Source organism: Homo sapiens, chromosome 3, assembly GCF_000001405.40.
Source record: "Homo sapiens chromosome 3, GRCh38.p14 Primary Assembly".
Lineage (NCBI taxonomy): Eukaryota > Metazoa > Chordata > Mammalia > Primates > Hominidae > Homo > Homo sapiens.
Genome location: NC_000003.12, coordinates 41,222,902 through 41,248,866, shown reverse-complemented (window position 1 = coordinate 41,248,866; position 25,965 = coordinate 41,222,902). Strand labels below are relative to the sequence as shown.

The 25,965-nt window shown below is 41.6% G+C and overlaps 2 protein-coding genes across 19 annotated transcripts in view, besides 2 other annotated features; one reads left to right on the top strand and one right to left on the bottom strand.

Annotated features, from left to right (window-relative positions):
• Positions 1 to 2,268, top strand: part of ULK4 (unc-51 like kinase 4) — a 715,505-nt gene extending 713,237 nt beyond the window's left edge. For all 5 annotated transcript variants that reach the window (NR_136342.2, NM_001322501.2, NM_017886.4 and 2 more), the window contains one exon: positions 1,875 to 2,268. Coding sequence is in view for 4 of the 5 variants with exons in the window: in NM_001322501.2 (NP_001309430.1) it covers positions 1,875 to 1,938 (64 nt within the window). In the remaining variant the exon portion in view is untranslated. The remainder of the gene's footprint in view (positions 1 to 1,874) is intronic.
• The window catches only part of CTNNB1 (catenin beta 1), a 40,939-nt gene continuing 23,397 nt past the window's right edge, over positions 8,424 to 25,965 (bottom strand). For 5 of the 14 annotated variants that reach the window (NM_001904.4, XM_024453356.2, NM_001438873.1 and 2 more), the window contains 14 exons: positions 24,786 to 24,846; positions 24,114 to 24,341; positions 23,660 to 23,913; positions 23,295 to 23,533; positions 23,006 to 23,207; positions 21,515 to 21,659; positions 15,423 to 15,526; positions 15,000 to 15,338; positions 14,570 to 14,728; positions 13,024 to 13,143; positions 12,368 to 12,518; positions 12,158 to 12,279; positions 10,791 to 10,851; positions 8,424 to 9,733 (listed from right to left, as the gene is read on the bottom strand). In NM_001904.4, the coding sequence (NP_001895.1) occupies positions 9,525 to 9,733; positions 10,791 to 10,851; positions 12,158 to 12,279; positions 12,368 to 12,518; positions 13,024 to 13,143; positions 14,570 to 14,728; positions 15,000 to 15,338; positions 15,423 to 15,526; positions 21,515 to 21,659; positions 23,006 to 23,207; positions 23,295 to 23,533; positions 23,660 to 23,913; positions 24,114 to 24,341; positions 24,786 to 24,798 (2,346 nt within the window). In that variant the 5' untranslated portion in view covers positions 24,799 to 24,846 and the 3' untranslated portion in view covers positions 8,424 to 9,524. Of the gene's footprint in view, positions 9,734 to 10,790; positions 10,852 to 12,157; positions 12,280 to 12,367; positions 12,519 to 13,023; positions 13,144 to 14,569; positions 14,729 to 14,999; positions 15,339 to 15,422; positions 15,527 to 21,514; positions 21,660 to 23,005; positions 23,208 to 23,294; positions 23,534 to 23,659; positions 23,914 to 24,113; positions 24,342 to 24,545; positions 24,678 to 24,785; positions 24,847 to 25,965 lie in introns of all 14 variants that reach the window. The other 9 variants (NM_001098210.2, NM_001438871.1, XM_047447480.1 and 6 more) reach the window with 5 other exon arrangements.
• Positions 14,241 to 15,440: an enhancer, noted in NCBI's record as "BRD4-independent group 4 enhancer chr3:41274918-41276117 (GRCh37/hg19 assembly coordinates)". NCBI's record gives its function as "activates an origin of replication core promoter dependent on BRD2, P300/CBP, MED14 and CDK7 cofactors, and independent of BRD4, by STARR-seq in HCT116 cells {active_cell/tissue: HCT116}" and the evidence as "EXISTENCE:reporter gene assay evidence [ECO:0000049][PMID:35650434]".
• Positions 23,260 to 24,459: an enhancer, noted in NCBI's record as "BRD4-independent group 4 enhancer chr3:41265899-41267098 (GRCh37/hg19 assembly coordinates)". NCBI's record gives its function as "activates an origin of replication core promoter dependent on BRD2, P300/CBP, MED14 and CDK7 cofactors, and independent of BRD4, by STARR-seq in HCT116 cells {active_cell/tissue: HCT116}" and the evidence as "EXISTENCE:reporter gene assay evidence [ECO:0000049][PMID:35650434]".

Sequence of the window (25,965 nt, the reverse complement as noted above, 5' to 3'; positions counted from 1 at the left end):
GGAGATAGGCCTATCACCCAGGAGCATGTTACATGCTGTAAAAGCAGAAGGAGCTGGCATCCCAGCCAGCCCCACAGAGACGCTGATGCTCAGTGGAACATTTCCCCACCCTGGGGAGAAGGACCCGCCTCCTATGGGGTGCCTGACCTTCACTGGACCTGGAATGCTGTCTGCCATTTCCTGGTAGATTCTGTTTTTAGAACTACATGTTTCTATGAAATCTGCTTCCTGGTGTGCTTTGGGTTTGTTATTAATTTGAAGAAAAATAAGTGGCTGAAGCATTGCTAAGAAGGTGAGTTTGCAGAGAAGGCTCAATTCCAATCAGCCTTTTGTATTTAATCCTGGATAGGTGAGAGGGGAGGATACCATCCTTTTTAGCCTAACCCTACCCCTTTTGTCTTCAGCATAAACCATAGAAGTAAGTTCGTATTCATGGTTTTCTGTGAGGTGAGGGGCAGGAGAGACTGACTTTCCTGCAAAAAGCCCCTTCACACCTTGCTGAGCCCCTGCCATGTAAGGTGTGAACAGTGACTCCCTGGACTGGCCTATAGGCCTCCTGTAAGACTATTTTGAGGAGCACATGCCATCGGATCCTGGCCTTGTGCAAAATGCCATTATAGAGCCAGCTACAGAGATTTATGCCGAGGGCAGAGAGAGAGCCACAGAGGAGTGGAGTTTGACAGACAGCTCTAGAGAGCCCCTTCGCTCTAGGCACCTGCGCTATGGGTCTCCTCATAGTAGGGACCTATAGCTGCCTTTTAGCCAAAAATAGCACATCCTCATGCTGGACCCAAATTTGGACCAAATGTGTCAAAACAAGGTTCAGTGGTCCATGAGGCTGGTGGTCTGTCCTGCACCCACACTCAGTACTCCAGCATCTAAAACGTCTACACCAGACAGATCTTGTGTTGGGCGGGGAAGTTGCTCCTGCAAAGTTCTCGTTTGGACTTTGTTCAGATTGCCTTACCAGAAAGGGTTTTCTTGTCAACCAAGAATGAGTGGATGGCATTGTTCTCAGTTCCGATGCTGCTCTGCCAGTAGTTTGTCCTTTCCAGCCTCACTGGGCCTGCTGTGTGCGGGGGCGCAGCATGGCCCCACTAGTCTAGCCTAGACTCAGCCAGGGGTGGGCCAAGTTCAAACGCATTCCTTCTGTCACACAGGGGCTTTGATGCGCAGAGCAGGAATGCATGGAACGGTCTCCTGGTCATGGCCCCATCCCACTGCCACCCACATCTTTTATGCAGGGCCCCACCCCCACCCATTTATTTGGTACCAGCTCTATTTCTGTGCAGTCAAGAGTGTGCCACGAGCTAATTTTACACTTCAAGGGTCACTGGTTTCAGTCTTTTCTTTGCTAGCAGTTGTTAAACATAGTTTTAAATGTGTCTCAAACAATTTGCTCCAGTAAAAAAGTTCCCGTTTTAAGCTCTTAATTGCACATCCACACCTATAAGAGTAAGAAAGCTCCTGGCTGATTGGCTGGAAAGGGCAATGGAGCAGGGAGGGTCAGTGTGTGGAGTGGGTCTGGGACACATAAGTCAGCTCCAGGCAGGAGCCAGGCAGGCCCACTGAAGGCCCCAGGCCTGGTAGAGTCTGGCTGCCTACCACTCACTGGCAGTGTTTCTGGCAGAGGTGGCTCAGATAGTGAGTGGTGGCTGGGGCTGGGAGCTCAGAAATAGCTCAGGGTGCTGGCATGGCCAATTCTGAACCCCACCAGGACTGTGGGCCAGGATTTCCTGCTTCTGCTTCCCAAGAGGATGCTGCAGCTGGTCCACCAGATACTCGGGTGCAAAAGAGGCTGGCCCCTTTGAAAGGGGGGAGCACTTTACCTTAGAGATGCCTATTAAGTGTACCTACTTTGGTTTTTCTTACAGTTCATTTGCCGACAGTGCGGTGGCTCCCTTGGCCCTGGAAATCCTCCAAGCCGTTGGGCACTAGGCAAGAAGGTGCTTAGCACAAGCCCGCCCTGTGGCCCCAGCCCTCGGATGCATAAGCAAGGTCAGCTCCCAGACACCTTTGCCACATCCCCTCACAGCTGTCTTTGGACCTAATAAAGTCAGCTTAACCCAGAACCTGGTGGCCCAAGTGCTCACTAACCCCAGGGCCTAGAAAACTGACTCAGAATGGACTTCCTTGGTTCCTGTGGAATGCATCTGGGAAGCCCAGGTTTGTTAGCTGTTCTCAGAAATGTTCTTTCCCTCTCTGTGTGGGCCAGGTGGGCTAAGGTTAGCACTGCCTGTGGTAATAAAGCAGTGGATGCAAAGCACAGTCCTCAGCCTGCCAGCATCTGTGAGCATCTCTCCTCTCCTCAGGGAAGAGCGGAAGGGCGGGACGAGGCAGGAATGCTCTCCCAACCGCAGCTCCAGAGCAAGCCTTTGGAAGCTAATCTCTGAGCCTCTTGTCTTCTCCCCTTTTACCTGCCTGGCTTTTGTTCATTTCGGGAGCAAACTGATTCCACGAATCCTGGGGAGGACTGGGTAAGACTCACTGACCAGCACAGATAGTGAAAAGTTTGCCTAAAGGAATGCAAAATGCTCAAGAACACTGGCTTCCTTGAAGGTTTGCCCATCTAAATGGGATGATGGCATCAGGGTAGAATCATTTCCCCCAACTTCTGCCACCTAATCCCATGTCTGCCTCATGTTCCCTCACGTATGTTTAGAACCTCCTATGTAAGAGTCAGTCAAGCCCATGGCAATATTGGGTGGATACTGTGGAAGTATGCTGGGACTGCTGTACTGGGCAGGCTTACTCTTGAATCTGGACTGGGTAGGTAGGCGTGGGCCCTGGGCAGCTCCAACCAGATGGGTAAGTTGAGGTCATGCCTTGGCCTTTCTGGGGCCTCGTTTTCCCCCATCTGCAAAATGAAAAGGCTACACTAAATCAGTGGCTGCCAACCCTTTTCCCAGCTCCAATGCTCTGGTGCTTCTTCTTAGGGGATTTGCCTTCTAACACTGCCCAGATGGATTCTGTCCCAGGCAGTGGCCATGTTGGCCCATAGATGGCCGCATCTACTGCATGTCAGGAAGCTGGTCATGCTGTCACCAACAGCCCCTCTGACACAGTAACCTGGGTAGTTTGACAGTTTATATTTGACATTACCTTTGATGCAGTTGTGCACAGAACTGTTGTTTTCATTGTAAAGCATTTCATTGCAGCCCAGCCAGAAGCATCCTCATCAGTACCTCATTACTTAATGAGGTTCTTGGGTCAGTTCTGTAAACACAGGGCAGACGTCGTCCTCGTCCCTGTGTTATAGTTCAGATATAGTTTCATTGCCTTACAATGAACACAGTTCTGTGCACAACTGCATCAAAGGGAATGTCAATTACCTTATGTAATCCCCACCACAACCTGCGAAGCAAGCCGCCTCAGTTTCATTTCATTGATGAGAAAACAGACTCAGAGGAGCCGTTTCCACTTGCTCAAGGACCCACAGCTTGGCTGAACCCAGGACTCTGACTCCATACCCTGTGTTCATCCCCTAATGGGGTGCACAAAGCTTGGGCTGTGACTAATTGGGATATGAGAGTGTGCCCTCTAAGAGTGTGACCCAGGAACAGGCAGCTTCATTTGACCTCACATGGCCTACTTAGTGCCCACGGTGAGGAGGCTTCACTATTTAAAGTCCTCCTGGGTGGTGTGCTCATCTCCAGCTGTGTGTGCCCATGTGGCCCTGGCCTGGCTGGTTTTGCCTGCACTTCTGGGATTGAGTGGGGAGTACTTGATGGAGCAGCCAGAGGCTTGGTTCTCAGCTCCAGTGGCTTTGCCTGCTGGATACAGGAACAGGCTGAGGTCTGTTTTCTTTGCCGTCTCCCTTTAGTTCTTGGGTGGGGGTAACGCCCATGGGGTTCTGGGTCTGGAGTCCTCTCAGGGTATTTCAGAGCAATGGAAGATTCTTCTTATTTCCCCTTCTCACTTGAGCAAGGAGTCGTCTTCGCTGTTTAACAGAGAACAGGAAACTCTTAATATTCCAGAGCCATTTTGTTCAGTGGGCCAGTCCTGGCCCTAGGCCCCGGTGTTGCCTGTCTGGGGAAAAGCTTATCTGGGTAAGCAAGGACAAGGAGATGATGGTCCCAAGCAGAGCCACTGCCCTGCCAAACATGTTGGGCCACTAAAGCTAGTCCATGCCAAGCCTTGTCCCTGGTGAGGCTGTGTCCTGGAGGAAAGGTGCCTATGGAAAGCAGCAGCCCAGGTCCATTTGAGTTCAGAGGTAGGGGATATGAGCAGACTGGTTGGGCAGAGGGCAGCTAACAGCAGTAACCCTTCCCTGCCCTCCCCAGGCCTGTACCTTAGTATTTGGCATGCCTAAGTGGCTCCATTCTGAGAGCAGAGCTGGCCCCCCGGGCCCCTCAGCTCTTAGGATTCTGGCAGTGGCAAAGGGCCCACACCTACTAGCCCTCTCCTTCCCTCCATCCCCAAGCTTCAGCTATCTGCTTATTAGCTACAATCCACTGGCTCTCTTCAGGGATGAATGGGTCACTGAAGTCACAGAGGTGAGAGGCAAAGGAGGTGACAAGCAATAGGGCAGAGGCGGCTCAGGTGAGTGGCTGCACACAGGTCTATTCCTCTCCCTCCACTAACAGCAAGCCCAAAGTTCTAAGACCTTGCCTTAACTTACAGCCGAGTCTGCATCCCCATTAAGCTGTCCCTCCGTGAAGCACCATTTGGGGTAACTCTGGTCACAGGTGTCCTGAAAGGTGCTGACAATCACTCATGGCACCTAAGTAGGTGAGTCAGTGGAATGCAGCAACAGAATTTACTATCTTATGGTTCTTTGCAGTTTATCTTTTCAAGTTTCTCCTATGAGGTTCTCAGGTCGGTTCTGTGAACACAGGGCGGGCATCATCCCTGTGTTATAGTTGAGAAAATGGGGGCTCTGGTAGCTAAGGCTCTCGTACAAGGTGATGGGAGAGGAATCTCCCTCACCAGGTCTCACCTGTCTCCACCTGAAGCAAGATGCCCTTTCTCTTTCCCCTGGCAACAGAAAAATGCAATGTAGAATATAATCTTATACATACAGGGGCTACGGTAGCAAGTGGTAGGGAACGGGGGAAGAGGCTGCAAGAAAGCTACAAGAGGCTTGGCCTCTTGGGACAGCTGTCTGGAGTGGGGTTGGGCGAGACTAGGCAAAGCTAGGCAGCCTTGGCCTCAAGCTTCAGTGGGGTTGAGAAGTGGTGTGTGGGAGCAAGAAGCTGGGCCTAGAACGAGGAGTTTTAATCTGCCCTTAAAATCCAGCCTCTGGCCTCTCCCATCAGAGGCTTGATGTTGAGGCGGGTGGACAAATGCATCCATTAGGTGTTTTAATAAATAATTACATTTGAATGGTGATATCCAATCCAGAAGCCTGGTACAAATGAAGCCTGGTGAAAACACCCAAAAGATAGACAGCAGAGTTCCTCCCTCACACGCTGTTAGTCCTCTCCCTGTCTCCTCCTGCAAGGTGCCCATTGCCACTAGGGTCTTCGTGTGCATCCAGGGATGGTCTATGCCTATCTTCACAAAGATTCTGCACCCACCCCTTTTTACCCATATGTGAGCAGCTGTCAACTCTGCTCCTTGCTTTTTCTCTTACTATGTATTTTGAAGACCATTTTATTCCAAAACACAGCTTTATGGGCTGGTTTTTTTTCCCCCCTTTGACTGCAGAGTGGTCCACCAAATAGATGCATCAAAATTTGCTTAACTAGTTAGGTTCCCTTTTGACACCTATTTGGGTTGCTATCTTTGACAGTGTTGCAATGAATTCCTTGTACATACTCGTGAGTATACCTCAAATAATTCTGAGTAGAACTGCTTTGTCACAGAGTGGCTCTCAGTCGTACCTAACATGGAAATTACATTTATGGACACACGGACCTTTCCCTATTCATGCCAAAACCTACTTTGGAAATACATAGAGATGGGGTTTCTCCTTTGCCTTCCTGCATACCCCTATACCTGTTCTGACCTTCCCCCACAACCTCAACTCTGAAACTTGTCACTTCCTTCTACGTTTACTGGAGTCTCAAGTGGTGGAATGGATATTATACAGAATTCCACATAGGAGGCTGCGATAAAAGAAAAAGGAAGAACTGCCCTGACAGCCCCTGCAGCCCCATCATTTCATAATTTCACTTTGGTGGGTGATCTGCTCAAGGCAAGGAAAGGCAGGTTCTCACTTAATAGAACTGCAGATCAACTTAGCATTTTTGCTTTATAAACAAAACAGCACAATTCACATCTTTTTATTATAGCAACCAAGAGTTAAAGAGTGTGTTTATCTTAAGATCTTTCATTATTAAGGATTCAGATCATCAGATTTCAAAGCCTCATGTCTGTAAGATCTGCTCCAACATAGAAAAGCTTCCTTCTTTGGTTCAATGGTGGTTGCTGCAATGGGATCAAATGTCTTAACTCTCAAGGCTGTCTCATAACTACAGCACAACTGAAAAAAGAACACTCAGGCTGGAAAGCCCTCCTATTCTCAACGGCCATGTTCATTTTGTCATTTTCACCTCCTGTACCCGGAAATGCAAGTGGGCAGCATTCCTTTTAGGCCTTTTCCTCCCCACCACTACTTCTCTTATTGAAAACTTGACCTCACTTTCTTCACCACTATTTACAGGAAAGGTTAGGTACCTTGCCAGCATCCCATGCACCTCCCTCTCCAGGTTAACCATTATTCTGATTTCTATAGTCATCTAATCATCTCCTTGCTCCATCTGTGGATATTTTCCTTAAAATAGCTTGTCCCTTTTTTTAATTGATGATCAATGGAGTTCTAAAGCATGCATCTGTAACTTGCTTTTGTTCAGTGTTATGTGAGATAGATATATGCATACTATACTGACACCCACATCACTGAAGCTGTAGTTTTTCACTGCACTGTCTCGTGTGAACAGAGATTGTTGGACACATGGGCGTCCAGTGTAGACTGTCAGCGTTGTGCCCTACCAAGCCTTACTGGCGCTTGAGGCAAAAGAAAAATCAGTACTACTGCCTTTATTTAAAATCTTGATATTTTGTTGGGTCATGGATGTTTTTCTGTATTGTTTTATTCCAACGGCTGTTTCACACCTTTATGAAAAAGTTGCTCTCCTCCCACTCGGATCTCCAACGCTGTCTCTGAAGAGTCTTTAAATGCCTGTGTATTATTCTGTATTAATCTGTATTTATATCCCTATTCCTGTAACAGGGTTAACTAACTTTAGCTTTGTATTAAGTAGTTAGGCCTTGACAGCTGCTAGAGCAAGTGCTATTTTTCCTAAGCGTCTTGGCTATTATTCACCCTTGGTACTTCCAGAGCCACCTTGTTGAACTGGATTAACTCTCACATTAAGTTTTTAAACTTCAAAAATAAAATACAATGAATTAGCAAAGCTCTGAAAACATTCTCTGGTTTTAAAAAGTTGTTCTTTCTGTAATTGAAACACCGTGCGGTGGCTCTTTATGTTAAAAGCTGAATTCACTGAAGATCTTCACGGTGTTAACCTACCAATAGCCCTAGGCTTCTTGAAATACTGGCTGGTTTGGTTTATCACACATGAGACAGAACCTGAGACCTACCACATCATCAGCTATGTGAATGTTTCTTTTCAAACCCTAATTACATTTTAGACCACAATGAATTCATTTTTGCAAAGCAAGGGCATTCACAAAAAGGCCTCCCCAGATGAAGCTGATTTTTAACGAAAAAGAACTGAATGTATGTTTTTCTCATAATTAATAGTCACTATCAATCATCATCAAAATAAAAACAGTAAATCAGAAAGAGCTCTCCCTAAAGACAAAACACTTCTTTCTTTTACTTTTTAAAAGACCAAAACACAAGTCTTAACAAACAGGTCTACCTGAAGAGATGAGATGAACTAAGCTTGTCAGACCTACCACCGGGATGATAGGATCATCTGGCAGGTACTGTGGAAGGCTCATTCTGGTTCTGATTATGTTCAGATAAACATCAACACTTAAACCTATTTAATTTATTTAATTATTATTAGTTCAAAGTCCAGTTGAAGGAATTCCCCTCTCCCAATGAGTCACACTTGGGTGAAGGTGATTCAAATCCAAATCCAGGTAGGGGTAGTTACTATTTATTTCATTACTTTAATGGAATCAAATCATCTGAGGGGGATTGGGGTAGAGATAGATAGATGGATAGTCTGCTTGGCTTTCTCCCACCAAAGCCCAGAACTAATCACAATGTGCAAGGCTGAAACACTTTTTTAGGGGTCCAGCGTAATCCAGGGCCAAATGCTAAAGAAACTTGGCAAATTGCATCTAGAGAAGTAGGGCCCTCTCTATCGCTACAACAAATTACTTCACTATGTATCTATCTATCTCAGGATAAAGTTCAGGATAAAGTTGAGTTGGATAAACTTACTTACCACCCTCACAAACCATTTATTAATGACAAGAAAAAAAGAAAGAGTGACACAATCGAATGAATTAAAAGTTTAATTCTGAACCATTTTTTATAACCGCATTTTCTCTTGAAGCATCGTATCACAGCAGGTTACAACAACTTTGGGATAAAAGGCAACTGGTAAACTGTCCAAAACAAGGTTCCAAATAACACCTCTTACTGATTTACCCTACCCATACATATCCCAAATAGTTTTTGATCAAAAACATGAAATAGATCCACCTGCTTATTTTAAGCATATTAAAAAGGAAACTAATTGGACCATTTTCTATTTGTCTATTTTATACAAAAAGGCTACACAATTGTTACACTTTATTCAGATTACAATTAATTAGAGTGATTATGAATTAGTGTTCTACACCATTACTCAATTCTTAAAAATTAGAAATTGCTGTAGCAGTATTCACTATAACTTAACACTACGAGAGACTTAAAAAACAGTTACTGCAAAAAAAAAAAAAAAAAAAAAAAAAGAGCTACTTCAAAGCAAGCAAAGTCAGTACCATTACAGATATTCTTAAAAAAAAAAAAAAAAAAATTTAACAAGCAAGGCTAGGGTTTGATAAATTCCATCTTGTGATCCATTCTTGTGCATTCTTCACTTCTTGAGTCACTCCCAAAATCCATTTGTATTGTTACTCCTCGACCAAAAAGGACCAGAACAAAAAGTTTACTTCAATTGTTCCCATAGGAAACTCAGCTTGGTTAGTGTGTCAGGCACTTTCTGAGATACCAGCCCACCCCTCGAGCCCTCTCAGCAACTCTACAGGCCAATCACAATGCAAGTTCAGACAATACAGCTGTATAAAGAGAGAAAGGCTGCTATTAATGTTTAAAACAGCAAATGTTACTCATTTGAGTATTAAGTTGCAAAAGCTGTGGCAAAAAACATTAAAGTTAATAACTTCCACACATGATCACATAACAACCAGAAATCTGAGAACATTCCAATGTTCCAAGACATCTCCTTTCAAAGTATATACCTGTTTTTGTGGCAGATTTACAAATAGCCTAAACCACTCCCACCCTACCAACCAAGTCTTTCTGAAGTTCTGTAGGCAGAGTAAAAGTATTTTACCCAAACTGGCTTTTTAAAACTTCTTACCTAAAGGATGATTTACAGGTCAGTATCAAACCAGGCCAGCTGATTGCTGTCACCTGGAGGCAGCCCATCCATGAGGTCCTGGGCATGCCCCAGATCTGGCAGCCCATCAACTGGATAGTCAGCACCAGGGTGGTGGCCACCCATCTCATGTTCCATCATGGGGTCCATACCCAAGGCATCCTGGCCATATCCACCAGAGTGAAAAGAACGATAGCTAGGATCTAGAAGAGTCAGGGTGTCAACAAAATAGGCAAGAAGGAAGGCAAAAGAGAGAGGAGAGAAGCAGACATAGACGTTAACACTGAGGTTAGGGCATCCAAAGTTCAGCAGCAAACTTGTCAGAAAACAACGCTTTCTAGCCTCTTCAACCTCCAGCTTTCTTTAGCCAAGTAATTACTCAGTGCCAGGCCACCCATGAGACTACACAAATAACATCTATTTCCATCAGACAGGCACACCAGCAGGGCCTAGTCACATCATTAGTCTAACCCTGAACACTCTGCATTTACCCCTGTCAAGAGACTTGGGGTTCCCGAGGAGAAGAAGCAGGAATCTACTGTGTGACCACCTAGGCAGTGAGAAGTCATGGGAAGGAGGATTAAGACAATAATGAGGTCTGGCAGGTGTAATCTATCTTGACAAAAAGGCCAAGTGACACCCACAAAAGTACTAAGGAAAGGCACTATTTCCATGAAACCTCAACATATTTTATCTTAGGGTTGACATGTTATTTCTCACAGTAAGAATCTGCGCTTTAGTGGTTTCATAATTAGGTAGAAGCAGATGCGGTTATAAATGTAAGACAGTTATAATTGTTAGTGGTCTATGCCATCCTCCATGTTCATTACCCAGATTTAAATTAGCTTTTCAAGAAAACCCTGATGATAATGCAACTATGTAAAAACCCACCCGAGATCTGAGCCTAGAAACAGGAGTTTTCCTATCTTCCTTGGGTAGCTTGTAGACAAAGGTATTATGAGTCCTCTGGCCAAAAAGAGAATAAAAAGCCAGGTAAATTGTAACATCCTGCACTGCAGAGGCCTAGCAGTAGCATGTATTTGTTGGTGGTGTAATCCTACTGCTACTCATTGTGTGGCTCTGAATTCCCTGTGCTCCATTAAAGATACTGTTGCTGACTGGAATTTAAGAACTGCTTTTAATTGAAGCCACTACTTTTCTGCCAACACTGGTTTCCCAGATGAGCAAACCGGCTCTTCTGATAAAAGTTTTAGAACTTTAGCTTGATCTGGAGTTAATCGAGAAATATGAGACACATACCATCCTGGCGATATCCAAGGGGTTCTCCCTGGGCACCAATATCAAGTCCAAGATCAGCAGTCTAGATAAACATGCACAAAGCAAGGAAGAATAGAAAGCAAAATGAAAATTCTCAAAAGTACACTAATTTTTTTTAAAGCATACTTTCAGATTACAAAAGGAACAAGTAACTCCAACATTACACAAATGCTTAGAAAATGGAAGTTCTTCAAAACTCCACACCTCAAAGATACATTTTTTTTTCTCTTTGCACCTCACATTAAAAATACTCACTGACTTGTTCTTTCAACAAATATTATATTAAGCACCTATTATGTGCTGCCAGGCACTGTTCTACATGCTAGAGATATAGCAGTTTAAAAAAAAAAAAAAAAAAAAAGGCAAAATGCCTACCCACAAACAGGAGCTGCTGATAGGATGTGTTATATGAAAGAAAAGTTTTAGCCTGAGCAGCTGGACAGACAAAGCTGACATTAACTAAGACAGAGAAGACAGTGAAAACAGGTTTGTGGAAGGGGGTAGGTGGAGAAAGTTAAGGGCTCAAGTTGGAACATGTTAATAAGATGCCTATTAAAAACCCAAGTAACACACTACTCACTGGTAATTTGCTTTTTTTTTTTTTTTTTTTTTGTGTTGGAGTCTGGCTCTGTCACTGAGTGCAGTCTGTTAACTCCTGGGTTCAAGCAATCCTCCTGCCCCCGTCTCCCCAGTAGCTAGGACTATAGGCATCCATCTCCATGCCCAGCTAAAGATGGGGTTTCACTATGTTGCCCAGGCTGATCTTAAACTCCGGTCTCAAGAGCTGCATCGTTGTAAACCTAACAATCTCTCTTTCCATTCACTCAACAAACATAATCCACTGTATGTCTGTGTACCATCAATGATCTCTATAGAATGGATAAAATATCAGGATGTTCTAGTTTTATTAGAAACAATGTTTCAAGGAACCACCTGTACTGAGGACAAATGCTGAAGAAAAATTCATAGCAGAAATTCAAATAGAAAAGTTTTATTAAAGTTTAGTAAAAAATACTGATAAACTGTCCTCTTAACAGTGTTTAACACTGCCTCTTTCCTTACATCCTTTTGAAAAATCTTCTTTAATCTGGTAACATTTTTCATCTTTCTCCCTTATGAATTATAATTTTAAATAACACAACTTATTTGTAATGATTCTGAACAGACTCTTTAAAGCTTGTATTATAGTTCTTCCTCAGAGCAGTTGCTAGACAGCATAAAGAAGAAATACTCAAGCCAGGGAAACATCAATGCAAATGAATGTGTACTAAGTGTTTTGAGAGGAAAGAACAAGCTGCCATACCTGCTCTAGGAAACTACCAGATAAATAACTGCTCACATTTCCCTACCTCATTCCAAGCCATTGGCTCTGTTCTGAAGAGAGAGCTGGTCAGCTCAACTGAAAGCCGTTTCTTGTAATCTTGTGGCTTGTCCTCAGACATTCGGAACAAAACAGCAGCTGCATATGTCGCTAAGAGACAAGGAGAAAAAGGCCCTTGAGGAAAAACTGAGACTTCAATGTACACATCTGCTAAAGGCTTTGGTTCCTTTTTACTTACCCACACCTTCATTCCTAGAGTGAAGTAACTCTGTCAGAGGAGCTGTGGCTCCCTCAGCTTCAATAGCTTCTGCAGCTTCCTTGTCCTGAGCAAGTTCACAGAGGACCCCTGCAGCTACTCTTTGGATGTTTTCAATGGGAGAATAAAGCAGCTAAGGAGAAAACACAAACAAAACCTAATTAAATCTAAAGCTAAAACATGGCAAGCCCCCCACTGTGGTGCAAACATTCCCAATTCAGAGTGCAAGAGGCATTCACACTGTAGTAAATAATATTCTCTGAATTTTATGTCTTGGGGTGTTTAATGCTCTGGAGCACTGGATTTCCATAATATTTTTTAGCTATAAACCCTTTCTTCAGAGGCAGCTCTAACTGATCTAAGATTTGGAAAACCCAGAATTGGTTGGGGGTCTATGCCCTGCCTCTGGCAGCCCAGGTCAGCTCTCCCCTCTAGGCACCCATAAAAGTGAAATGTGAAATCTCCTCCCTCTTCTCAAGTCTCAATGTTTCTCTTACTGACCAAAAAATGTAGGGAATTTTCATAAAATTAAATGTTGGTAACCCTATTATGGTCCCTAATTTTCTGAAATGTTATTAGTCATTACAATCTGGAAATTTTATGGACATAAAACCTAGAACACTTCACTTAAAACATACCTGCACAAACAATGGAATGGTATTTAGTCCTCTGATAACAATTCGGTTGTGAACATCCCGAGCTAGGATGTGAAGGGCTCCGGTACAACCTTCAACTATTTCTTCCATGCGGACCCCCTCCTGCCAAAAGAAACATGGTTAACAAACAGGGCATTCTCCTCTGTAAAGTTTGAGGAACAATTATTAGACTGTAATTATTTACATTATATACCCGAAGTTCCCCGTAACTTGCAATTAGTTCAGGAAGGAAGAAGGATTCCATTAACTTGAATGTCACTGAAAAGAGGCCTCCTGGCAGCACTAATTCAAAGCAGCACCCCTCCCCCATACACAGTGCAACAGAGCTTCCATACAGCGCTGAATCCCAAAGACAACTTTCCTACAGTAAGGGCACCAATCATTCTGGGTAAAAGGTATATAAAAAGAGAAGATGAGAAAGTAATGCTCAGACTATGTCAACGTTTTTCTTTTACATGCCCCCTCTATTTTTGTATATCTTCCATGTATTTGGTGAAAACTTTGCCAAGTTTTAGCACCAACTGCTAAAACTAACCGAGTTGCCAGCAGAAAAATTCACTCCTCACTCTTCCAAGACTATTCAGCTGACAGCCTCATGTATAGAAGGAAGATAGCTTTTGCAATATGTAAGTACCATCTGTTTCTCCTGTTTCTGGATTTGAGTTTTAAAAGGGGTTATTATTCTGCTACATTTAGCAGCTTTTATAAATAACTTGATTCTTACAAGGACACAAAAACTCTCTTCTTCCTAGAAAAGAGATTTAAAATAAAAGGTGCCCTCAACGTTCTATTAAGTCACCTCATGGAGATGGGCCAATACCAACAGTAATAAATGAAGAAAGCCAAAGCCCCAATATGAGTACATACACAAAGCAACCAGCAAAATGAGATTCCTAACATCTGTTCTGGTAGGCTCCATCTTTGTTTTCTAAACTAACCTAATAAGGTCTTAAAGTCTGAGAAATCAGAAATGTCATTAGACTATACTTTTAATGAAGCTACTTTTAAGACACAAACTTTGTATCAAAGCTTCAGGTTGAGATTTTTGTGGTTAAGAGTACAGAAATGCTACTACTTATTTCTGAATATTCTTAGGTCCATGAAAAAAGTTTAACTCACAGAAAAGATAATAAAACGGACTGCTAAATATTTATAGTCAAAATGCATGATGAGGCAAGGGTAAGAGGCTCTGAAATTACACAGATTTGATCTCAAATTATGACTCTACCTCTTCCTAAGGAAGTGGGCCTTTGTGTAAATTAAATGAGAACACTTTATGAAACACCTAACCCAACCTTTGTAAGACTGACCATGTGAAGGACGTGTCCAAGGAAATATCACTGGGGCCACACTATGCCTTATTTTCTCTGCAGCCATAGAAATGTGTAATTATTTATTTATTTACTTTGTCATTAGCTCTTCAGGAAGACGGATGGGGGGAACCAATGACCAAAGAAAGAAGTTCAGGATCCTTTGGATTTATGCATTCCTTTTAGATAGCCAGGTATCACTGTAAGAATTTACCTACCACAAATTGCTGCTGTGTCCCACCCATGGACGTACGGCGCTGGGTATCCTGATGTGCACGAACAAGCAACTGAACTAGTCGTGGAATGGCACCCTGCTCACGCAAAGGTGCATGATTTGCGGGACAAAGGGCAAGATTTCGAATCAATCCAACAGTAGCCTGAAAAACAGAAGGAAGAACTGGCATACAACTCAACAAAATCATTTTCTTACCCTAAAATTCCCACCACACTAAATCTATTGGTATCAACTAAAAGTAGTTCTGACTACACAAACATTTCAGAATCTTACCCCTATCGCAGCCATACTTCCTACTTACTAAGGAATACAATTCCTACTTATTGATCACTATGCTTAGACAGCCATCCAACAGCTAGAGATGCTTCATTTTCAATTCTGCAACAAAGGTAAATTCTACTTTGACAATTTACCTTTATCAGAGGCCAGTGGGATGGTGGGTGTAAGAGCTTAACCACAACTGGTAGTCCATAGTGAAGGCGAACTGCATTCTGGGCCATCTCTGCTTCTTGGTGTCGGCTGGTCAGATGACGAAGAGCACAGATGGCAGGCTCAGTGATGTCTTCCCTGTCACCAGCCCGAAGGACAGTACGCACAAGAGCCTCTATACCACCCACTTGGCAGACCATCATCTTGTTCTTATAATTATTGCAAGTGAGGTTAGAAAGAATTCCAGCTGCACAGGTGACCACATTTATATCATCTGAACCCAGAAGCTGAACAAGAGTCCCAAGGAGACCTTCCATCCCTTCCTATGGAGATAAAAACAGATGGTCAGTACAAGCACATACTCATCTTGACTCTATTCCCATGGCACCAGTTTACTCAGAATTTACCTGTTTAGTTGCAGCATCTGAAAGATTCCTGAGAGTCCAAAGACAGTTCTGAACAAGACGTTGACTTGGATCTGTCAGGTGAAGTCCTAAAGCTTGCATTCCACCTAGAAAATTAAAAAGGATATAAGGCCCTAGTCATTAGCTAGAAGTGCCTATCAATCCTAAATATCTGTTCTAGCCTTAGGAGGTGTCCTTCTGTATTTCCAGAGTTTACTTCCTTTCACCTAAGTATTTGATTTCCTCTCATTTTCTAGAATGTTGCTCAGTTTCCTTCACTTTGCCAGTTCACCTCACTAGTGACAAACTCTCAAATAGCTACTGTTCCTTTCCTAAGCCGAAAAAGCCTTTGTTATCTCCACTGTCCCCCTTAGGTAATATTCTTATTACTCATTTCTTTTCATCCATTCAATCATTTCAAAAATATTTATTCAGTACCAGGTCCTGTTCTGAGCTGCAGATAGACCAGTGAACAAAAATATTCAGAAGTTCCTACCCTCAGAATTTATGATCTAGTTGGAAGAGGCAGAAAAATATACAATAAACTAAAACCATACAGTATGTCAGATGATATTAAAGGGCTATGGAGAAAAATAATGGAGTGGGGCTGCGATTTTAAATAGATAATTAGGTCACCTCACTGTGAAGGTGACATCTGACTAAAGACCTAAAGAAGCTAGGTAAATTCCTGGGGTAAGAACAATCCAGAAAGACGGCATGAAAACACTTACTGTCAGGGACTTTATACAATTCACTGACTACAAAACATGTGTTCCAAGGTTTACAATCTTCCATCCTTTAGGACCCTTAAATGGGGGACATTTACTCTGGCAAAGGAGTATAAATGGAAGCCCAATGCCCACATAGTAGATTAACTTCGCTCATCCATCTTCAACTTAAATCACTTCTGAATGCAGTAAGAGATACTTTTCCTTGTCTCCTTCATCTTTCGGGTCTGTTTTATTTCCTCAGATGAGGTCTATCTGCTGTAATTCTTATGGTACCCTGCACTTCTCCTTCATAGTGTAAGTTACTCCACTTTCCCTACAAGACAAAGATCACCTCTGTTGGGTTCCTTTTTCATAGTAGCTCCAGCTACTAATAGAATGATCTGCGTAAGACTGATGATCAGGATGCTCAGTATTTGTGAAATGACTACCTTCTTTCCCCTCTTTAAGACTTCATTCCCTCCCTTTACATAACTATTAACTCTAAGAGAATGGATTTTAACCCCAGATGTCCATCAGAATGGCCTACAGAGACTTTAAAACACACACATTCTGATTCAGCAGTTCTAGGGTAAAAAAAAAAGTCCCATACAGATGACTCTGTGGCACCTCTACCTCCCCTTCCCTGCTGCCCTTACCCCTATATACTAAGAGGGAAACTTCCAAATCTCTAGCCTGCCTCTCTTGCATTCTAGTATCATACATTTCCAGCTACCTACTGACCTTTTAAGTCACTTTAAGTCAGCTTCTTAAATTATTATGTTCAAAAATTAAGGATGCCTTCTGAGGGTTCCATTTATCTTCATGGTACCAATGTTGTCCCCTCCACAAACCGTTTTTGGTTGCTCCCTTAGCTCCTATATTATTACATTCTATGATTCTTTCAGGCATCTCAGACATCTGCCCTTTGCTATTGAGTTCTAAAAGCAAACTATTTCATTCCTAAAAGCCTGTAACATCTCAGTAGTCTGGTCTTCTAGCTTTTGGTCATTCAAACTGTTAATCTATACAATGCTATTATTAATATTTTAAACACACCACTGTGATGCTTTGCTATTGATAAACAACCATCGAAAGTGTCTCAGCATCCTTTTAAGATAATAGAAATACTTTAGTATAACCCTGAGGAACCGTTTAGAATTTGGATCCCACCTAGCCTTCCAAACTGACCAAAGTATTCTGTATCTATGGCTCCAAAGCTGGAATAAAGCATGAATAAACTCCATGAGTAGTAACTATCTTATAGGAACCTAGAAAGTCCTGCATGTTATGGCTCTGCTTACCTAACCTCAACCTCATACCAGGCCATCCACCTCATTACTAAGTTCTGTTTATGCAGACCTTCTCTTCAGCACCTGGATCTCCACAATCTCTTTCCCTTTTTTTTTTTTTTGAGATAGAGTCTCACTCTGTCGCCCAGGCTGAAGTGCAGTGGCGCTATCTCAGCTCACTGCAAGCTCCGCCTCCCGGGTTCACACCATTCTCCTGCCTCAGCCTCCCAAGTAGCTGGGACTACAGGCGCCTGCCACCACGCCCGGCTAACTTTTTGTATTTTTAGTAGAGATGGGGTTTCACTGTGTTAGCCAGGCTGGTCTCGATCTCCTGACCTCATGATCCGCCCACCTCAGCCTCCCAAAGTGCTGGAATTACAGGCGTGAGCCACCGTGCCTGACCAATCTCTTTCCTTCTAAGGCAAGCTTGTCCAACCTGCAGCCCATGGGCCACATGGCCTAGGACAGCTCTGAATGTAGCCCAACACAAATTCGTAAACTTTCTTAAACATTATGAGATTCTTTTGCAATTTTTTTTTGTTTTAGCTCATCAGCTATCATTAGTGTATTTGGTGTGTAGCCCAAGACAATTATTCTTCTTCCAATGTGGCCCAGGGAAGCCAAAAGACTGGATATCCCTGGTTCTAAGACATAGCACATGGTGTTCCTTTTCTCTACCTGGAAAACGTTTAACCCTCACTTCTCATATAGACAAGAGACGGTTCCCTCTCATCCTGCAGTCCCACTTAACATCCCCTTTTCAAGGAGACCTTTTCCCTCTCATCTAGACAATTCCCCTCCCCATTAATTCTCATCACTATTTGCTGTCATTTCTCCCATAACACTCATTCTAATTTAGGATCACATATTTTTAAGTATTTTTGTCACCTTCACAAGACTAAGAATTAAGCACGGGGACCCTATCTGTTGTGTTACCCAATGTATACTATGTGCCTATTCCATTTCTTAAAATACATTAGATGCTATTTTCAGAATAAACAAATGAACATAAGAATAACCTGGAAGAACTTAAAGATTCCTAAGCTTCCAGTCCCATACATGTCCAGCTATCTACAGACCTCCCTGTCACTTCAAATAAAACACTATGAGATCTTGATATAAAAATTAACACTCCAGGGATTCTGATTAAATAAATCTCAAAATCTGTATTTTTAGCCTACATTACAGGTTACTGCTGGAACAGCTGACAGAATTTACATCCCATCCCCTCATTCTATATGAACTCAGCCACATTTGTCTATCCCCAAGACTATGGTTCCTCTGCCAGTAGTTACCTGGAGCAATCATAATGTCTTTCTCTCTCATAAATTCCCAAGTAAAATTACTCTCAATAAGTGAGAAAAGTAAGTGTTGCCAGCCCTATACTTTATTCCCAACATTTTCTTCCATTAAATGCCTTTATATTTTTCCTTCTTTCAATACTGATTTGAAGCTTGCTTTGAAATTCTGAGTAAATGTTGTTAGGTGGGTTACTGAAAGGAGAAAAAATGCTTGGTAGCTAAAAAGTAACTGTTTTCATGACACACACACACACACACACACACACACACAGAACCCAAGAGGCCCTAGTACAAACCATCTATTCTTTTCCCCAATTGCCAACATACACAATATACAAAGTACCACATATAAGTTGCCTTCTTAAAAATACTCAGAATAGAAAAAAATTGTTTCTCATACTTAGACGACATCTATTCACTGAGAATACAGAATATCAGGGCAAAACACTGCTCATAATCAGGCAAGAGAAAGAAAATGCATCCAAATAGGAAGTCTGTTTGCAAACAATATGATTCTATACCTAGAAAACCCCATAATCTCTGCCCAAAAGCTCCTTGATCCAATAAACTTCAGCAAAGTTTCAGGATATAAAAATCAATGTACAAAAGTCAGAAGCATTTCTAGACACCAACAACATCCAAGCTGCAAGCCAAATCAAGAATGCAATCCCATTTACCAAAGCCACAAAAAGAATAAAATACCTAGGAATACAACTAACCAGGGAGGTGAAAGATCTCTACAATGAGAATTACAAAAAACACTGCTCAAAGAAATCAGAGATGACACCAACAAATGAAAAAACATTCTATTTCATGGCAGGAAGAATCAATATTGTTAAAATGGCCATACAGCCCAAAGCAATTCACAGATTCAATGCTATTCCTACCAAACTACCAATGGCATTCTTCACATAATTAAAAAAAAACTATTTAAAAATTCATATGAACCCAAAAAAGAGCCTGAATAGCCAAGGCAATCCTAAGCAAAAAGAACAAAACTGGAGGAATCACTTTACCCAACTTCAAGCTATACTGTTAATACAAGGTTACAATCACAGCATGGTACTGGTATACAAACAGACACAGAGACCAATGGAACAGAAAAGAAAGCCCAGAAGTTAGGCCGCACACCTAACAAGTAAACAAAAACAAGCAATGGGGAAAGGACTCCCTATTCAATAAATGGTGCTGGGATAACTGGCTAGCCACATCCAAGATTGAAACTGCACCCCATCCTTACATGATGTACAAAAATCAACTCAGAATGGATTAAAGACTTAAATATAAAACTTAAAACTGTAAAAACTCTGCAAGATAACCTAGGAAATACCATTCTGGACATAAGACCTGGCAAAGATTTCATGACGAAGATGCCAAGAGAAGTTGCAACAAAAACAAAAACTGACAAATGGGACAGTATAAAGAGCTTCTGCGCAGCAAAAGAAATCAACAGAGTAAACAGACAACCTACAGAATGGGAGAAAGTACTGGCATGGGAGAAAGTACTGGCAAACTATGCATCTGACAAAGGTCTAATATCCAGAGTTTACAATAAACTTAAATTAACAAGCAAAAAAGAACAACCCCATTAAAAAGTGGGCAAAGGACATGAACAGACACTTTTCAAAAGAAGACATACAAGTGGCCAAGAAACATATGAAGAAAAGCTCGACATCACTGATCATTAGAGAAATGCAAATCAAAACCACAATGAGATACCGTCTCACACCAGTTAGAATGGCTACTAATAAAAAGTCAAAAAATGACAGATGCTGGTGAGGTTGCTGAGAAAAGAGAATGCTTATACACTGCTGGTGGGAAAGTAAATTAGTTCAGCCATTGTGGAAAGCAATTTGGTGATTTCTCAAAAAACCTGACAGAATTACCATTCAATCCAGCAATCCTATTATTAGGTATATGCCCAAAGAAAAAGAAATCTTTTTACCATAAAGACACATGCATGCATATGTTCACTGCAGCATTATTCACAATAGCAAAGATATGGAATTAACCTAAATGCCCATCAATGGTAGACTAGATAAAGAAAATGTGGTACATATATACTATGGAATACTAAGCAGCCATAAAAAAATACCAAGATGTCTTCCTCAGCAACATGGATGGAGCTGGAGGCCATTATCCTAAGCAAACTAACATAGGAATAGAAAACCAAATACCACATGTTCTCACTTATAAGTGGGAGGTAAACACTGAGTACACACGGGCACAAAGAAGGGAACAACAGACACTGGGGCCTACTTACGGGTGGGAGGTAAAGAACTGAAAAACTACCTATTGGGTACAATACTTACTGCCTGGGTGACAAAATAATCTGCACACGAAACCCCTGTGACATGCAATTTACCTATATAACAAGCCTGCACATTACCCGGAACCTAAAAGTTAAAACAAAACAAAAACTGCTCATGAGCATCTACTAATAAAGCAATCACTTTACATAAAACTGTACTATATTAGAATTTGTCTTTTCTCCTATAAATTCACAGCTCTGTTAGCAAATCTTAGGTTTACTCAAAACTGAAATTACAAACAAATTTTATTAAGCAAAACATATGCCATCATTTTTGATGGATAATAAGAACTCTACCTAAACTAGCCTTAAATATTTAGCTACAATCCAGATGACAGGTACTCTGAATGTAAATCTTGGCTGCAAACTGAATAGGACCATTTATTTTCAGTAGTTAAAGTTCTACCACCTTTTCCTAAGAAAAGTAATCTAATTAGAACTGCAGATGCTATACACAAGACTCAGAATAGATACATATACTTACCAGCTTCTACAATAGCCGGCTTATTACTAGAGCAGACAGATAGCACCTTCAGCACTCTGCTTGTGGTCCACAGTAGTTTTTCGTAAGTATAGGTCCTCATTATATTTACTAAAGCTTGGGGTCCACCACTAGCCAGTATGATGAGCTAGAAAGATATATATATATATCTTGTTAGTCAAGGAATCTTGATCACATGTCTGAGAAGAGCCATATTACCAACCTATTTTATTATACAAGAATTTCAGCCAGCTTGCCATTGGACCTAAATGTATTCCTGGACCCCATCACTCAGACCCCCATACTGGGGCCCTATCCAACTTGTCCTTTTAAAGCATTCCACTCAAATTCAGACATCCCAGTCCTCCAAACAATGTATCAGTTTGGGCCCAATTTCCTTCTTCCCACAGTGATCACACCAAAAGAAAAAAATTTAGAAACTATGTTGGTAGGCAAGAGTAATGCCCTAAGATGAAAGTTATATCAAAACTGATTCACTGAAAATTTGAACCAGAACTGGCACTTAACTCCTCATCATTTGGCCCTTTAATTTTCCTAATTATATCCACCTTAAAAACAGATACCATAAAATGATCATTCATGCTTGTCCTTTCATTCCCTGTATATCTTCCCTTTCAACACTGCCCCAATTTTCTAAAAACAAATTTCATCATTTCAGGCTTCTGCTGAAATTTCCCATTGTGCTTTTAAACATGCTCTACAAAGCCCTATGAGATCTGCTAAGTCTATCTCAATAGCCTCACCTCAAACCTTTCTTCCTCCTTACTATTAGTATTTCTTAAATTCCCAAAACTTTCCATCTCCTTCCTTCGTTTCAAAGATGTTGTTTTCTCACCTAACCTTCACCTAGTGAATCCCTTCTCATCCTTGAACACTGAACTCAACTATCACTTCCTCCAAGAGGTCTCCTTGAACCCTCAAAAAGAGTCAGTTTCAACTTGTGTTATGTGCCCTCATAGCCCCACTTCTTCCCACTACACAAATTAAATATTAGGTTATTATTCCCAACATCTACATCCCACCTAAGAACAAAAGTGTGAAGAGAAGCTTGCCTACCATATCCCTACTACTTCGCATAGTGCTTTACATATGGAAACTCAAAAATTTAAAAGAACAGAAATGAACTGGGCTGCACAGCAGGAGGTAAGTGGCAGGTGAGCGAGCATTACCTGGCTTGAGCTCTACCTCCTGTCAGATCAACTGCACCATGAGAGTCTCATAGGAGTAGAAACCCTAGTGTGGACTGCACATGCGAGGGATCTAGGCTGCACGCTCCCTATGAGAATCTAATGCCTGATTATCTGAGGTGGAATGGTGTCATCCAGAAACCATTCCCACAACCCATTCATGGAAAAACTGTTTTCCACGAAACTGGTCCCTGGTGCCAAAAAGGTTAGGAACACTGCATGGAATGACATGACACTGGAGGTGTCCAATGCTCCATGAAAACCACATAAAGAATAATTCTCTTACCTTGCTTTCTTGGTTGCCATAAGCTAAAATTTGAAGGCAGTCTGTCGTAATAGCCAAGAATTTAACATTTGTTTTGTTGAGCAAGGCAACCATTTTCTGCAGCCCACCAGCTAAACGCACTGCCATTTTAGCTCCTTCTTGATGTAATAAAAGGTTGTGGAGAGTTGTAATGGCATAAAACAACACAGAATCCACTGGTGAACTGGGAAGAAGAAAAAAGCCTCATCAGAAATATTGTGAGTATACTCTTCTACTTTTTAGCTTCAAGCATTCTGACATGTTTTCTTACCCAAGCATTTTCACCAGGGCAGGAATGCCTCCAGACTTAAAGATGGCCAGTAAGCCCTCACGATGATGGGAAAGGTTATGCAAGGTCCCAGCGGTACAACGAGCTGTTTCTACATCATTTGTATTCTGCATGGTACGTACAATAGCAGACACCATCTGAGGAGAACGCATGATAGCGTGTCTGGAAGCTTCCTTTTTAGAAAGCTGATGGACCATAACTGCAGCCTTATTAACCACCACCTGTAATACAGGAATTCAGAAACATCGTTAGTTTTCAAGTACTGGTATTGGGTAGACATTCTGAAACTACTCCCCTTGAGCATTTACTTCAAAGCAGACTAAAAAGCTAGCTATGTCATTGCTTACCTGGTCCTCGTCATTTAGCAGTTTTGTCAGTTCAGGGATTGCACGTGTGGCAAGTTCTGCATCATCTTGATAGTTAATCAAGTTTACAACTGCATGTTTCAGCATCTGTGATGGTTCAGCCAAACGCTGGACATTAGTGGGATGAGCAGCATCAAACTGTGTAGATGGGATCTGCATGCCCTCATCTAATGTCTCAGGGAACATAGCAGCTCGTACCCTCTGAGCTCGAGTCATTGCATACTGTCCATCAATATCTGGAAAAGGTTAATTCAACACTCACTATCCACAGTTCAGCATTTACCTAAGTATTTGCTATCCTAAATGGTAAAAGTGACATTGCTATTACTCTCTTTTCTTCACCACAACATTTTATTTAAACTATTATACACTAACTTTTTAGTTCTCAAAACTGCATTCTGACTTTCAGTAAGGCAATGAAAAATAATACTCTTACCAGCTACTTGTTCTTGAGTGAAGGACTGAGAAAATCCCTGTTCCCACTCATACAGGACTTGGGAGGTATCCACATCCTCTTCCTCAGGATTGCCTTTACCACTCAGAGAAGGAGCTGTGGTAGTGGCACCAGAATGGATTCCAGAGTCCAGGTAAGACTGTTGCTGCCAGTGACTAACAGCCGCTTTTCTGTCTGGTTCCATGGCCATGTCCAACTCCATCAAATCAGCTATAAATACGAAACAGTATTAGCATTAGTAGATTGGAAATGTTACTTTAATTTAAAAAAAAAGAATCTGTGATATGACCCATTGAAATATTTTTAGAAATAAAGTCAAATCTGAAAGACAGCCAAGAAAAGCAGAATGATAGCCAGGGTTAGCTCAGTGATGAAATACCTAATCCCTTAGGGAACCACCTAACAGTTACTCACTGAATCAGTGGAAGAATGGTACTGCATCCAGGCTCCAGAAGCAGTCATCCAGACTAGATTCCTGCTGGTGGCTTGTTTGCTATTTCACCAAGCCATTAGGAGGAGTGAGCAGAAAATGGAGCAAAAGGTAGCCTGACAAGTAAGCAGGGAGAGAGGAAAGCAGGGGGATCTCAGCCAGACTGGCTTAATGGCAACGAAGCAGAGCCCCAATTCAGTAACTAAAGATTTAATGACACAAACCTTGAGTAGCCATTGTCCACGCTGGATTTTCAAAACAGTTGTATGGTATACTTCAAATACCCTAAAAAAAGTTAATCAAAAGTCATTAGGATTTAAATTTAGCTTGATTAATACTCCTAAGTCACTGGGATACCTGTTAAATGTCACTATTACACCCACAAAAAAAACCCATATCCTCTTTTACCAGGTTAGTGAAACGCAGACCTCATGGTCTCCTCCAGACACCTCAACCACAGCTCCATCACTGCTGAACTTCAGTGAAAACTCCTCCTTACCAAAAATGTCTTTTTATTAATAGTATAAATATTAATTATAGATATTCAGGATGGTGATGAAAAAGCACAGAGTTGTAATAATAAAAGCCAGGGAGGGGAAAACACTATTCAAAAATCAGCTGCTCTCTGAATTCCTAAAGGTCTCTCCTTTTTTAACCTTTCACAGAAAAATTCACAGATCCCCTTTGGATAACAGAGGTACAGTGGGATTTTAAAAACTCCACATTTTCTTTAACAAGTTGTTTTCTGATATAGTGCCATCAAAAATTATTTTTCATAAAGCAAATTTTGGTGACTAGAATAGCGAATTTTAGATTTTTTGGTACAAAGAAAAATTACTTTTCAAATGAAAGTTTGCAACACAAAAGCACCTTTATTAGTAAAATTTTTCTAAGTTCAAATTTACAGCAATGATTTATTATAAATACAAATATTACCAATATGGATACATATTTTGATCAATATTTTAAAAATTTATATAAATCTTATCATCTAATTTGTCCGTATTTTGCCTTTATTGTGCAATATTGAAAAAAACTGCATCACACAGGGAACTACTTGCAAATTAGAACAGTTTAAGGGCTCATGGCCTCTAGATATTTCTAATAACACGATTTCCTTTATTACAAAATCTGTCCCAAACAAGTTCATCTTGAACTATAAATTAACATATTGGGTATGTAAAGATATGGAATAAAATATTTAAGTGTGAACTATGTTTTGTTTTTTTTTGAGACAGAGTTTTGGTCTCTTGCCAAACCAGGCTGGAGTGCAGAGGTGCATACTGGGCTCACTGCAACCTCCGCCTCCCAGGTTCAAGTGATTTTCCTATCTCAGATGTGAGCCAACACCTGGCCTTAGTTTCTATCTTTTGACTGTCTTTAAAAGAGTGGCTATGTAACTAC